The 13029-nt window shown below is 44.5% G+C and overlaps 1 pseudogene across 1 annotated transcript in view; it reads right to left on the bottom strand.

The window, feature by feature from the left end:
- LOC101929583 (methylenetetrahydrofolate dehydrogenase (NADP+ dependent) 1 like pseudogene) overlaps window positions 1–12767 on the bottom strand; it is a 60728-nt pseudogene extending 47961 nt beyond the window's left edge. The window contains exons 1-3 of the transcript NR_136299.1: window positions 12717–12767; window positions 11740–11847; window positions 9246–9398 (exon numbers count right to left, since the gene is read on the bottom strand). The product of NR_136299.1 is annotated as a methylenetetrahydrofolate dehydrogenase (NADP+ dependent) 1 like pseudogene (transcript). The remainder of the gene's footprint in view (window positions 1–9245; window positions 9399–11739; window positions 11848–12716) is intronic.
- Window positions 12768–13029: the final 262 nt, after the last annotated feature.

Below are 13029 nucleotides of genomic sequence, written 5' to 3'. Positions count from 1 at the left end.
CATCAATACCTAGAAAAATAGTAGATCAATATGCTGATTTTAGGGGTGGACACAAAAGTGTTATAAGTGTCTTTTAACTTTTCTTTTTTCCCTCCTTGACTCTGAAGAGAAACACCATTTTTTCTACGTATGCAAAGAGTAAAAATTCAGAACTAACATGCAGGGATTAATAGCAGTGAATTGCAAACTCAACTCAGTGGTATAGTACCTGGCAACATTATTACTCAGCATATTTCCCTGGCTGAGGCTGACTTCATTTAAAGTAGTTTTATACTTGTGCTAAAAATAAGTGTACATCCCATTAAGGGAGAAAAGATCTTCTACACAATGGATTGGACCTACATAACCTTATGTACCAGAGAGGAAAACATCATTCTCATGAGTCGCAAAGCTTTCTTCTTCTTGTCAATATGATAAACAGTTTCCGGAAATTGAGAATGACGCTGGTTACTTTCCTTCCTCCTGAACATGCCACACTGAAGAGACAGGGATGACTCCTTCCCTATGGGACAGACACACATGTAGCTTTCCCTGGGTTGTGGAGGAAGGCATGGCCACAACACCATTGGCAGTCTGCTGCAGGGACCTCACGATGAGAGGAAGCAATGGATGCCTGGGCCAGGGAAATGCATATTTGGGAGAAAGCAGGAAATTCTGATGTAGAGATAGGGAAGAACCCTGGGGAAAAGGACCCAAGCTGGGCGGGGAGGAGGAAACCACCAGGATCCCAGGATCAGAGACAAAGGACCCAGGGACACAAACAAAGTGAGGCCAGATGGAGAGGGCAGGCTCACGGGGAGAGCAAGCTCACAGGGAGAGCATGAGCCAAACCTGGCTTATTTCACACTCATCAGAGAGACTGCACAGATGGGGCCAAACCAGGGCCCAGGAGCATCGGAGAGAGGAGGGCCATTTCAAAGACTTTTGTAAAATAAGCTCAAAGTTTCTTTGTTTATTTGTGGGTGTGGGAGTGGAAACGTAGGGAAAGTGAAGAAAGTGGGGGAAAAGGGATGGGTGATTTTGTAGGCAAGATGCTCCCTGAGGAGGTCCTGGTGGACCTGCTGTGGGGAGTGGCATTCTGCACACTCTCATATCATGGGGAGCGCATGACTACATTACTGCTTACACATCTCCAAGTGCAGCTTGGGGGGTGAATGTTTAATTGTCTCACTGTAACTGTCTAAATCTCTGGAAAATGTGAAGGGTCATGCATTTGATTTAAACCTATGAGGTCTGAATGAATTCTCCTCCATGCCTAACCGAGTGAAGCAAGTATATAACCAACCATGCATCCCTAAGCAGGGCCGGTATGAAAGGGAGGAAACGCCTCCCCACTGAGCTCGCAAAGAACTTCATCACTGACCTGAATCAGATCCAGCAGGAAATGAAACAATGAGTACATACTTTTACAGTAGAGGGAGGGGGACGGAAAACAAAGTGAGCTGAACTGAAACGTGAGAAAGAACAGAATGGCAGTGAGTCCACGGGGCAGGGCCGCAGCTTTCTTTTTTCATGGCCCTCAGTCCAGTAACCCCACCCGGCATTCGTAGCGGGTGACATCATTGATGCCCAAACATGCTCCAGCAATTTCCTGCTTTCCAGAGTCCAGCCGAGCCATGATGTCAGTGGTGCACCTGGGTAAAGATATGGCAGGGCCGGGTCACAGGGAGTGGGGACAAAGGCCAACCCAGTTAAATAAACTGCTGGTCTTCTAGGGCCTGGTCCCTAGGCAGGCTTCCACCATGAGATAGGTATAGCCCAGGCCAATCCCAACAAGAGGAAAAAAAGCATGTACTTGGCCGGGGGCGGTGGCTCACACCTGTAATCCCAGCACGTTGGGAGGTTGAGGCGGGTGAATCACGAGGTCAGGAGTTTGAGACCAGCCTGAACAATGTGGTGAAACCCTGTCTCTACTAAAATTGGAAAAAATTAGCTGGGCGTAGTGGTGGCCACCTGTAATCCCAGCTACTCGGGAAGCTGAGGCAGGAGAATCGCTTGAACCTGGGAGATGGAGGTTGCAGTGAGCCGAGATCACACCACTGCACTCCAGCCCAGGCAACAGAGTAAGACTCTGTCTCAAAAAAAAAAAAAAAAAAAAAAGAATGCACCCATGCAGTGCCTCCTGTCACCCTCTGCCCAGAAAGGGCACAGGGGCCAGGGTGAAAGAGTTACAGGAAGACAGAGGGAAGGAAACCATGCAGACATAACCACATGGGGGCAGGCCCTAAGCTGCTGGGACCTCCACAGTGTATCCCTTTCCTCCAACTGGGAGACGGAAGCACCGATGGTCTTTCTCTACAGTGCCAGGAGCCACCCTGCCCCCAGAGATGCCCTACAATCAATGACTACCATCTAAATGCTTCTGGATAGTTTCATTCCTTGTAGATGATATTCCAAATATTATAATTTGTACTTCTCCACAATTACAATTCCAGTTTTGGGGTTTCTTTTTACTCATTAAACTTGAAAAGCCAATTCCAGTTTTAAAGCTTGACCCTTTTCTTAAAAGTTTAACTTCTCTTTTTATTCAGGCTTCCCACTAAACCCTCAAACTGACTCTGAGGGTGGCCTGACTAATTTACAAAACCGGCCAGGCTGCCTAACCCCTAGATTCCAGCCCAGAGTGTTGCCATAAATTGCTGTCAAGACATGCCTCTATGTCCCATGTTTGCCAGTGAGAAAAGGGTTCATATTCTAAGTTCTTCAAGTCTCTCTCACTGCCTCAATGTGAAGTCAATGGAAAACAGTCAAATACACCAAAAATTAACTTCAAATGGATATCTGCTATGAATTCCAACTTGGTTGGACACCTCTCCAGGCCAACTGTTGTGAAAATGCATTGTTGTTTTAAAAAACACTGTGAGAGATGGCTGGGCGTGGTGGCTTACTTGAGGTCAGGAGTTTGAGAACAGCCCGGCCAATATGGTGAGACCCCAGTCTCTATGAAAAATATAAAAATTGAGCCAGATGTGGTGGCATGCACTTGTAGTCCACGCTACTTGGGAGGCTGAGGTAGGAGTATCACTTGAACCTGGAAGGCGGAGGTTGCAGTGAGCCGAGATCATGCTACTGCACTCCAGCCTGGGTGACAGAGCAATACTCTGTCTCAAAAAAAAAAAAAAAAAAAAAAAAAAAAGAGAGCGAGAGAAAACACTGTGAGAAGAAAGAAGTCAATCACCCCCTCTCCAATGCCCAACACAGTAAGCAAGAAGGGCCCAGGAAAAAATTAACAGGGAAAAACAATCTTGCATTTGCTTAGTGGAATCTGGGGTTTGCACACATTAGTCAGAGCTAGACAAATCATACTGAATACACTTCTTATAGAAACATTCTAGCTCTTATGGCCTTTCCTTGCTGTCCCAACTTTTGAGGTGCGAAAACACAGCAACACAGCCAGGACCGGCCAGGTGATGGCACGGAGCCCGCTCCCACAGGCTGCGTGTGTGTTCTCACTCTCTTGCAACTGGCCTGAGTTAAGCCTTCTCCCCAAGCACTTGCAGTTTATCATCGCCCTATTTACTGTATTTTCATGTTATAAAAGTGATATACACCCAACGTAGTAATTTGATCTATACAAAAAAGAGAAGAAAAAAAGCTACTCATAATATCACTGTCTAATTTAAGGTTTTGGTGTAGTCTTTCTAGTCTTTTTCTATATGGAATGTAATTTACTTCTCAAAAATATCATTTCATATACTTTGCTTACATATTAGCATTTTTGTCATGAAATTTATGCCAACTGATTAAACAGCCCTTGTAAATTACAGAAACTTAAAGACAATATCAAAACAATGTGACCACAAGACAAAGACCACCTACTACTAAATTATTTTTGGCATGAGATTATTTTTTGAGAAGTTTTATAAACTATTAGGTTTATTGAACACTATAAACTGTAATCCTTGAAAGAATTTTGGAAGCATACGATAACAGGGTAATTTGTAGTAGAATATAGGGTTGGAAAACCTTAAAAAACACTTGCTCATTTCTTCCTATATCAAAGATTTGTATTAGAAAATCTATTTCTTACAAAAAGATGTACTAAGTGGTATTATGTCAGTCAAGCATCTTGTATTATTTTCTAGCTTTCAATAATATGTATAATGTCATAAAAAAGAGGGAAGAATACACAAAATACATATGAAGCTTACTAGGAATGAAGAAAGTTATTTTAGGAAGGAAAAATTGGTTACCATCAAGGAATATGGAAAACACTAGCAATGCATGTAAGAATGACCTCAAAGGTCTTAGACGTCCACGAGCTGGGAATGCTTGTGCTGGGTGCTTCAGTTACAACAGCATGGGGAAGTTAAATAGACTAGTGAAGCTGTTACATCAGTTAATAGTATTTATTATTATTTGTCGTCACCAATGCCAATTAAGACAATAATTAAATAGAACATGATGAAATAATTCAATGGTAGGAAAAAAAAATCTGGCCTACAAGTGAACATGGAAAGTAAAAGTAAATATTTAGAAAGTGAAATCAGGAGCGGAAAAAAGCTCCAGCATCTCACCATGGGGTCTTCCAAAGCCAGCAGTACTGGAGATGTTTATTGTTCAAAGATGGACTTGCTTGGGTTGGGATTCTCCAACTAGAGCCAGAGGGGAGATTCTCTGCTTCCCTTGAGGACACAACAAGAGAGGCTTTCTTATAAAGCCTGCCACATTCTGTGCCTGTATTGTTTTATTTACTGGAGTCTATCATAAGGCCTGTGAGGAAAGGACTGAATCTCTTTCTCATAGCCGTTGGGCTGATGGCCCTGCGTGCTGTAGGCATTTAATAATTCACTGAGTAAATGAATGAACCCTGCAGGAGATTGGGAGCCTTTCTGATCTTGAGGTCTCAGTTTGGACTATCTTTCTGGAGTGGATAGACGAATATGTTTTTCAGCAGCACTCTAATAAGCGCACATTGGGTGACTAAGCAGAAGAGTGATTCGTTTTGCTAGAATTTTCCAACCTGCAGGAGCCAGTCCCCCTGGTGTCCCCATTCCCTGTCCCCTCAGTCATCTCAGCAGGAAATTACTATCCTTTCTCCCACATGGGTGATGAATGTTCAAGGCATTTCAGCACACTGTGGTAAGGCCCAGAATGGGTTCAAGTAAAAGTAAATACCAGTCCTTATTAGGAGATCCTGGCCCCTCTGCTGCATGTGTCCCAGTACACATGCAGCTTCCTGCTCTGTCATAGAAAGCAGCCCTCTAGGGCCACTGCCTCCAGTGAGAGTTTCCTGACCTCCAGGAACTTCTGTAGTCAGGCACCACTCCCTTCCCTCACACCCAACACCCTATTGTTCCAGATTTTATCACTGTGCACTGATGCTCACTGCGACCCCACATGTGGCCACAGGAGGAACTCGGCTGAGGGCTGAGAAGACCAGATAATGACACAGAGGGCTCACTTCAGGAAACCCAGAGAGCTGCAGCGGCTCCTCCAGGGCCATTCCACGCATTCATTTTCTAACAAGTCATAAGTCAAAGAGTGACATCAGGAGCGGACAGCCTGGTGTCCAGGCATGAGCCATGGCAACAGATTCTGATTTCCCAGAACGGCTTTGGTCTTTACCTGGTGTTGGATATGGTAGTGTTAGCTGGAGTGGGAGGAGATTCACATTGTATATTTGTTTAGTGACTCCAAAGATTTTAAATTATATTGTGTTTTTTATTATTTTATTCCATTTTTTTAGAGACAGAGGTCTCACTCTATCTCCCAGGCTGGAGTGCAATGATATGATCATAGGTCAGTGTAGCCTCAAATTCCTGGGCTCAAGTAATCCTCCCATTTCAGCCTCTTGAGTAGCTGGGACTCCAGGTGTGTACCATGACTCCTGGCTAATTTTGGTTTAAGTAGAGATACAGTCTGGCTATGTTGCCCAGGCTGGTCTTGAACTCCTGGCCTGAAGCAATCCTTCTACCTTGGCTTCCAAAAGTGCTTGGATTGTAAGTGTGAACCACTGTGTGGGCCCTGGTTTTTGTTTAATGGCTATTAAATGCTCAGAAGTGAATTAAGGTTGCAGTTAAATGCACAATTTTTATATCAAACTATTTTCTTTGCTAATTCACTTCTATCTGCTTCTACCAGCTGTAAACTACCTGAAGCAGAGAAAGTTTCTTTAGGTTGGGGCTTCCTGTAGCCCCGAGCTGAGTGCCTTATGCAGCATTGGCCGAGTGCATGAATTTGTTGGGTGAACTGCTGCGGGGTTTAGAGTCCGCAGAGGGTAGGACAGGACAGATCGTGATCGAGGCTAACCTTCTCATCTACTCTACCATTTCATGCTCTGTTTGGGCACCTCCATCACCCCTCACTTCCCCTGATGGTCCAGTCTCTCTGGGCCTGCACTGTCCAGCCACCCTCTTATCCCTAAGCCAAGGCCTTTGCCAACTAAAGCTCAGGAGTAAAGTGGCCATCACTGAGGCCATTCTATGTATGTATGTATGTATGTATTTAGAGATGGAGTCTTGCTCTGTCACCCGGGCTGAAGCACAATGGTGCAGTCTTGGCTTACTGCAACCTCTGCCTCCCAGGTTCAAGCAATTCTCCTGCCTCAGCCTCCCAAGTAGCTGGGATTATAGGTGCCCGCCACCATGCCCAGCAAATTTTTGTATTTTTAGTAGAGATGGGGTTTCACCCTTTTGGCCAGGCAGGTCTCAAACTCCTGACCTTGTGATCCCCCCACCTTGGCCTCCCAAAGTGCTGGGATTACAGGCATGAGCCACTGCACCCGGCTGACTGAGGCCATTCTAAGGAATATACAGCAAGCTCTTCACTACCCATTTTTGTTAACTGAGGTATAACTAAATGATACACAGGCCCAGCACAGTGGCACGAACCTATAGTCACAGCAACTTGGGAAGCTGAGGTGGGAGGATTGCTTGAGATCAGGAGTTTGAGTCCAGCCTGGGCAACACACGTGTATAGGTCTATGAGTCTGGAAGAATGTATATAGCCATGGAATCACTACCATGTCAAAACATAGGATATTTCCATTATCCCAAAAAGTTCCCTCCTGCCCCTCTGCAGTCAAACACTTCCCTCCCCCAGCTCCTGGCAACTGCTGATCTGAACTGTAGACCTGAAAATGTCATTCAGAACCCATTTCATCTGGACCCTTCTCTCTGTGTCAACATTGCTGTGAGCGGTGTCTGTGGGATTTTTCTGGACGTTCTCTGCCATGCCCCTGCTCCTTCCTTCCTGCCTTCTGGAAGGCACCCCTGCCAGGAGTCGGCTGCATTAAAGTGGGTGTTTCAGGGGTGTCTTCCTTTACTCTCTTCTCACTGATTTCCAGCTATCCCTGTGTCTCTTGTTTAATGAGTGCCTTCACCCATATCCTTAAACCCACCAGGGCGACCTTCCTGCCCCTTTCTTTGGAGAGCTGTATCTGTATTTCCAGTGGAGACACAGACTGTTCCTTAGATCCTATTAACCCTCTGAGCTCTCTCTCTTCAAGCCAGGCTCATTTCTGGCTTGGCCAATCTGCCTCCTCCCATGTCCTTTCCATGACACGGTGATGGCATCACCAGCCAGTCACCAAGCTAGAACAGTCCCTTCACCCGGCCCCTACTGTAGGAGGATACTTTTAGAGTATGTCTGCAATTCACCCCCCACTCTCTGTATCTACTTCTGTGGCCAAAGTGCGGACCTTGATTTCCTCTGGCCCCAGCTGAATTAACCCACCTCTCTGGGCCTGGTTCTCTTTTCACTAAACATTCTCCACATTGCTGCCAGAGCTATTTTTCTAAAATACACATCAGACCACATTCTTCTCCTCCTTCTTTAAAAACAAAAAATCAAAAAAATAAAAAACCAAGAAACAAACAAAAAACCCACCCTACCGTGGCTCCTCAGTGTGTAGAGATCAGATTCAAGTTCCGTGAGATGGTCTTCAAGATCCTTGGCCATGTGACCCCGTCCTGCTATCCCAATCCCATTCCCATTCCCATCCCCAGCCTCCCCACCTCATCCAACTCCAGCCACATTGGATCACCCCAGGAGAGGATGTCATGTATTAGTACTCTGGTGCCTTTGAGTCAAAACTCACTGTTTTGCCAGTTCAGAGGTTGAGCCCTTTTTGAAGAATCCCCTCTTCTTCCACAGCCCAGGTAAGTTCTACCCCAGGCATAATGAGCTGTTATCCCCCTGGGATCTGAGGGTATTCAGAATACCAACACAATGCTCTCCAGATACCTCTATGCTATTCAAATCCATGCATCTCACACCTGCTCATCTTAAAATCTCTGTGCCTCACATGCAGGAAGAATTCAAATGATGCTGATTGAAAAAACATTGTGTCCAATATTAGATGAAGCATGTAAATATCAAGGCAAGAATCTGCACTTTTTGTCTGTCTATTGCTTGTTTGCACAATAGAGCCACATGGTTTATTATAAAAAATTATTATAATGTATGCTGTTTAAGCTCAGATCACTTTGCACTAATGATGATGATAATGATGGGTTAGAATTTTTTTTCTTTTCTTGCCATGGGATCTGCCAGGTTTTAAGAATTCTTTTTTATTCTAAACCAAATTCAGGAGCACTCCCAAAGACAAGAAATCAAATTTAGGCCACTGATGGTACCAACGGAAGGCTATCACTGTGTAGCTATACCAAATGAAGCCAATCTTCATGGATTTTAAGCACTTTGATAAGCTTTTATATCTCTGCTCATCTCCTTTACCTCCATAGATAACACAAAATAACAGAATAATCAACCAATAGCAACGTAATCCCATCACAACAACATCAAAAATGAGAATTCATATGATTCAGTAATTTCCTAAGCCAGAACTTCCCACCTGATGTGCTGGGGAAGTGAGAGGGTGAGGACTGCTTTCCCCAGCCCTTAGGGTGACTGGGCAGATCCTGTCTGGTGTGAGCATTCAACCCTACTGATTACATCATTTTGGGTGCTATGTGTGACAAAGGTTGACAACCACTGTCCTAAGCCATTCTACCATTTAAATAGACTGAATTCTCCCAAGTTATGTTCTTACTTGCCTTAGGAAGGAAATTAGTATTATGACTCTAAGGATCCTGAACACATGATCTAAAAAAAGAAAAACCCAAAGCACAATGGCAAAGGTAGGTGAGACAGAGTGTTTAGAAAAATAGCGAATACTGTACTATTAATTACTCCCAATTCTCCCTAATCCATGATTTTTAAAGAGCGGGTGGAGCATAACGATTTGAGGCACTGCGACAATGCAGAATGGGGAGGGATTTTGGAAAATGTGACTCACTCACCGTTCCGACCAAAGGGTAAATGAACCCAGCACCTATGCTGGCCCGGACATCACTGATAGGTAAGATGAAGTCCCTTGGCACACCTTTTTTGTCAGGTTGGTGAGACAGAGAAAGATCGGTCTTTGCCATGCAGATGGGCAAATTTCCAAAACCCTGTAAGAAAGGAAAGAAAATGTGTTCACTGATATAGACGTGAGTCTCCTGTGTTTTTCAATTTGCACTTTATACAGTCTCGGCAGCAATGGTATGCCAGCTCAGATCGAGGCACACGCAGGAGCTGCTTGTTACTACTTGTTCACTGAAGAAGCAAGAAGGTGAGGATAAAAACTCATCTCCATGTGATGACTGTTTAGTAGGTCAGGGGTGACTATTGTTTATTTTGGAGGTTCTCGTTAAGAGAAGGCAGTGTTATGTGCATGTTTGGGAAAAGCATTGCTATTTGCAGGCAAAGCAGCAGCTGTAGAAACCGCTTTCCAAGACTATTAATATCCGGGACCCAGCAAGGTAGTCTGGAGAAAGGCTCTGCGACTAGGCTCTTAGTCATGTTGTTCACTCATTCTGGAGTCAGTCAAGAAGCAAAGGGTTCCTTTGTGTTGGTTTATGAATCATGGTTATTTGATCTGCAACTACATTACAAGAGCTAAGATGAGGTCACTATTTAAGCTTCTTGTTTTTAAGGACAAAAGTCTATGTCTGACCCAGAGTTCCAAAGGTGAAAGAGCAGGAAGTCACATGTGGTGTCTCACAAAAAGCACAGTGTCCTATAAGCCTGTTTCTGATTAAATGGCACACAGTGTTCCTTTAGAGGCTTTGCTAATTCATTGCAACCACATACTTGGCACTAACTTTAAAAAAAATAAAAATAGAGATGGAGGTTTTGCTATGTTGCTCAGAGTGGTCTCAACTCCTGGCTTCAACTGATCCTCTGCCTTGCCCCCACAAAGTGCTGGGATTACAGGTGTGAGCACCGTGCCTGGTTGACACGACTTTTAAGGAGTATTTCCTTGATAGAGATAAAGGGAATGAAATCTTTAGTCAAATTTTCATAAGACTTAGCCTAAAACTATTTGGAAGATCTTAGAGTCTTATCAACTTAGGGAGGACTTGGGCTTGGGGCCATTTTCTTTTTGAAATCTCCACTCTTCTATACTGATAAGAATTTTGCTGAGTGAGAATCACAACTGCCTTTCAGAATGGTGCCAGAATTTTGAATTTCAGACATGGTTAAATATTAAAGTAATTTCTATAGGTTTGCTAATGTAAAAATTTTGTTAGTAGGCATATTAAAAAGAAACAGAAACCAACCAGTATGCTATATACTGTCACCAGATTACTTCATAAAAGAAATAACATTTTAACACTGAAAGGAGAAAAGACTTAATATTACAATAAATGATAGTCTTAAATATCATTATTAAAAACTCGGGGAATAAAAAACAAAGCAACCTCATGAGAATGACCTTATTTTACTTGGTTCATTGCACATGAATGAAAACTTCACCACAATGCCTAGGCACAGAGCAGTGCTTGGGAATCCTTTTTGTAAAGGGTAAGCCAAGAACATCAGGGAAAATTCTAAGAATTTAGAACTTTCTGAGTTCCTATTTTACCAAACCTAGGAGAACAAATACCCTGGCTGGCAATGGTAGCATTTAACAAAATTTCAAATGGGTTTACAGAAAAGAATAAGGAGTTGGAGATTGTTTTTAAAGATAAGGTCAACACTACCAATCATGAAGCTCTTTAGCCAACAGGCTCTTAAAATGTTCTGACTTCTATCTATCTGATTACACCAAAGTAGGAGGGACACTGGAGGCACATGATCCTTTTGGTAAAAGGTGGCTGAGCCTCCTATAATGGAGTTGATTCATCATGAATGTCACTGGACTAGGTGATGACACATGCTGTCAGATCGTAGCCACCTTCCCAGCTGTTTGCCTACTTGCCTTTCTCAGTGGCTAGAGGTAGAAGATGATGGAGCCTTCAACCTCAGTGGACCAGCTCAGTAAAAAGCCAATGAACCGTTTGCATAAGAACAGCAAACATTCCCATCTTTATAGGCTGCACTCCTATCTGCCTACCCTGGCACCTTGCTAGCATTTTTAAGGTAGTAAGAGGCCTGTAAGGAAGAGGAAGCATTGCAATTCATGCAAATCTGACTCCGCAGCTCTACTCCAAAGGATAGTTTCAACGTTCTGGGCTGAGTGGGAGGGATGAAAGATCACACATCACCTACAAACAGGGATACCACCCATATCAGACACATTTATAGTCACAGAAGTAAATGATGCATGGATCAGAGGATACATGCCTCACCATAAAGTTCTAAATATAGTTTACACTCTACCCGAGGATATTGCTTTCATCTTTGTTAACCAGAAAATAGATTAAGCAAAGGTTAGCTGGTGAGACATGTACAAATCCTCAAGTCAAGCTGAGTATTCTGAGAGCCTAAGGTGAATTTTTTCTTTTCCCCTAAAAGTACAACTTTTACCTGCTGAGTGTAACGATCTATTTTGACTTGTGCCTCAGGACAGAGTTCGATATCTTTGGCTCCATAGACAGCCTGGGCAATGGTCCTTATCTTGTCCACAATTGGAAGCTGCAGAAACACAAATTATAACAAAATTGTGTAAGTTTAATCTGGTTAAAGATTTTTTAAAAAGTTTAGTGACACTTACTGTAATTGCTTAAAATTCCCTTATCAGGGTACCCCCTCAGCAACTGCAGGATTCCTTGCAAACCCTCTTTTTTCCTTTTAGCACCCTAAAGCACTGAAATTTTCAGTGTCAGAATAGATCAGATGTCAACTAGCAAATAAGCCTTAGGTGTTCAGGCAATTTAGAGGCTGCTTAGAGCCCATGTAGAATCTGCAGAGGGAGGCCGGGCACAGTGGCTCACACCTATAATCCCAGTACTTTGGGAGGCCGAGGCGGGTGGATTACCTGAGGTCAGGAGTTCGAAACCAGCCTGATCAATATGGTGACACCCCGTCTTTACTAAAAATCCAAAAAAACTAGCTGGGCTTGGTGGTGCATGCCTGTAATCCGAGCTACTTGGGAGGCTGAGGCAGGAGAATCACTTGAACTGGGAGGCAGAGACTGTGGTGAGACAAGATTGTGCCACTGCACTCCAGCCTGGGTGGAGTAGGACTCCGTCTCAAAAAAAAAAAAAAATCTGCAGAGGGAAGAGGGAAGTTAGTGCCTTACAGAGGGCTTCTGACTAGGAAGCCCCAGAACTGCGGCCGACCCCTTCCTCTCCCTGCCTCACCCCTGCAGAAAGATCTGCAGAAAAAGCTGGAAGGGGTGGGATGGTGTGTGTGGGGGTGGGGACTGGGGCTATGCAGTTTCCAGACCTGGTCTTTGGCACCCTCTACAGGACAGTTCCATTCCCACACCTGAGCTTTGGACAACTGAATCCTATGCCCCTTCCCACCCAGGGAACCTGGTGCCAGAAATTCCCAGGACTTACCCACCATCCACCACGCCACATAGCAAGTGTCCTCAGTGTCTGCAGACCAGAAACAACTCCCTTGTGTCTCAGCACCGGGCCACCTGCTGAAACCCCAAACTGCCTGCCCCATTGTTTGAGACCCAGTCAGGCCTTGGCTCCAAAAGTCCTCTTGGACTGCCACTGGCCCCCAGGGTCTCTCCTGACTGCACCTCGGTCCCGGAGCTCCCACGCCGCTGGGCCCCGAGCCCCATGCCCCGATCCAGCTGTGGCTCCTTTACGGGGGCCTTGCTGGCCTTTCCTAAGGGAGGTGTTTTCCCGAGGGCAGGTGGAC

Source organism: Homo sapiens, chromosome 9 (assembly GCF_000001405.40).
Source record: "Homo sapiens chromosome 9, GRCh38.p14 Primary Assembly".
Lineage (NCBI taxonomy): Eukaryota > Metazoa > Chordata > Mammalia > Primates > Hominidae > Homo > Homo sapiens.
This window is presented reverse-complemented; position numbering and strand designations above follow the sequence as displayed.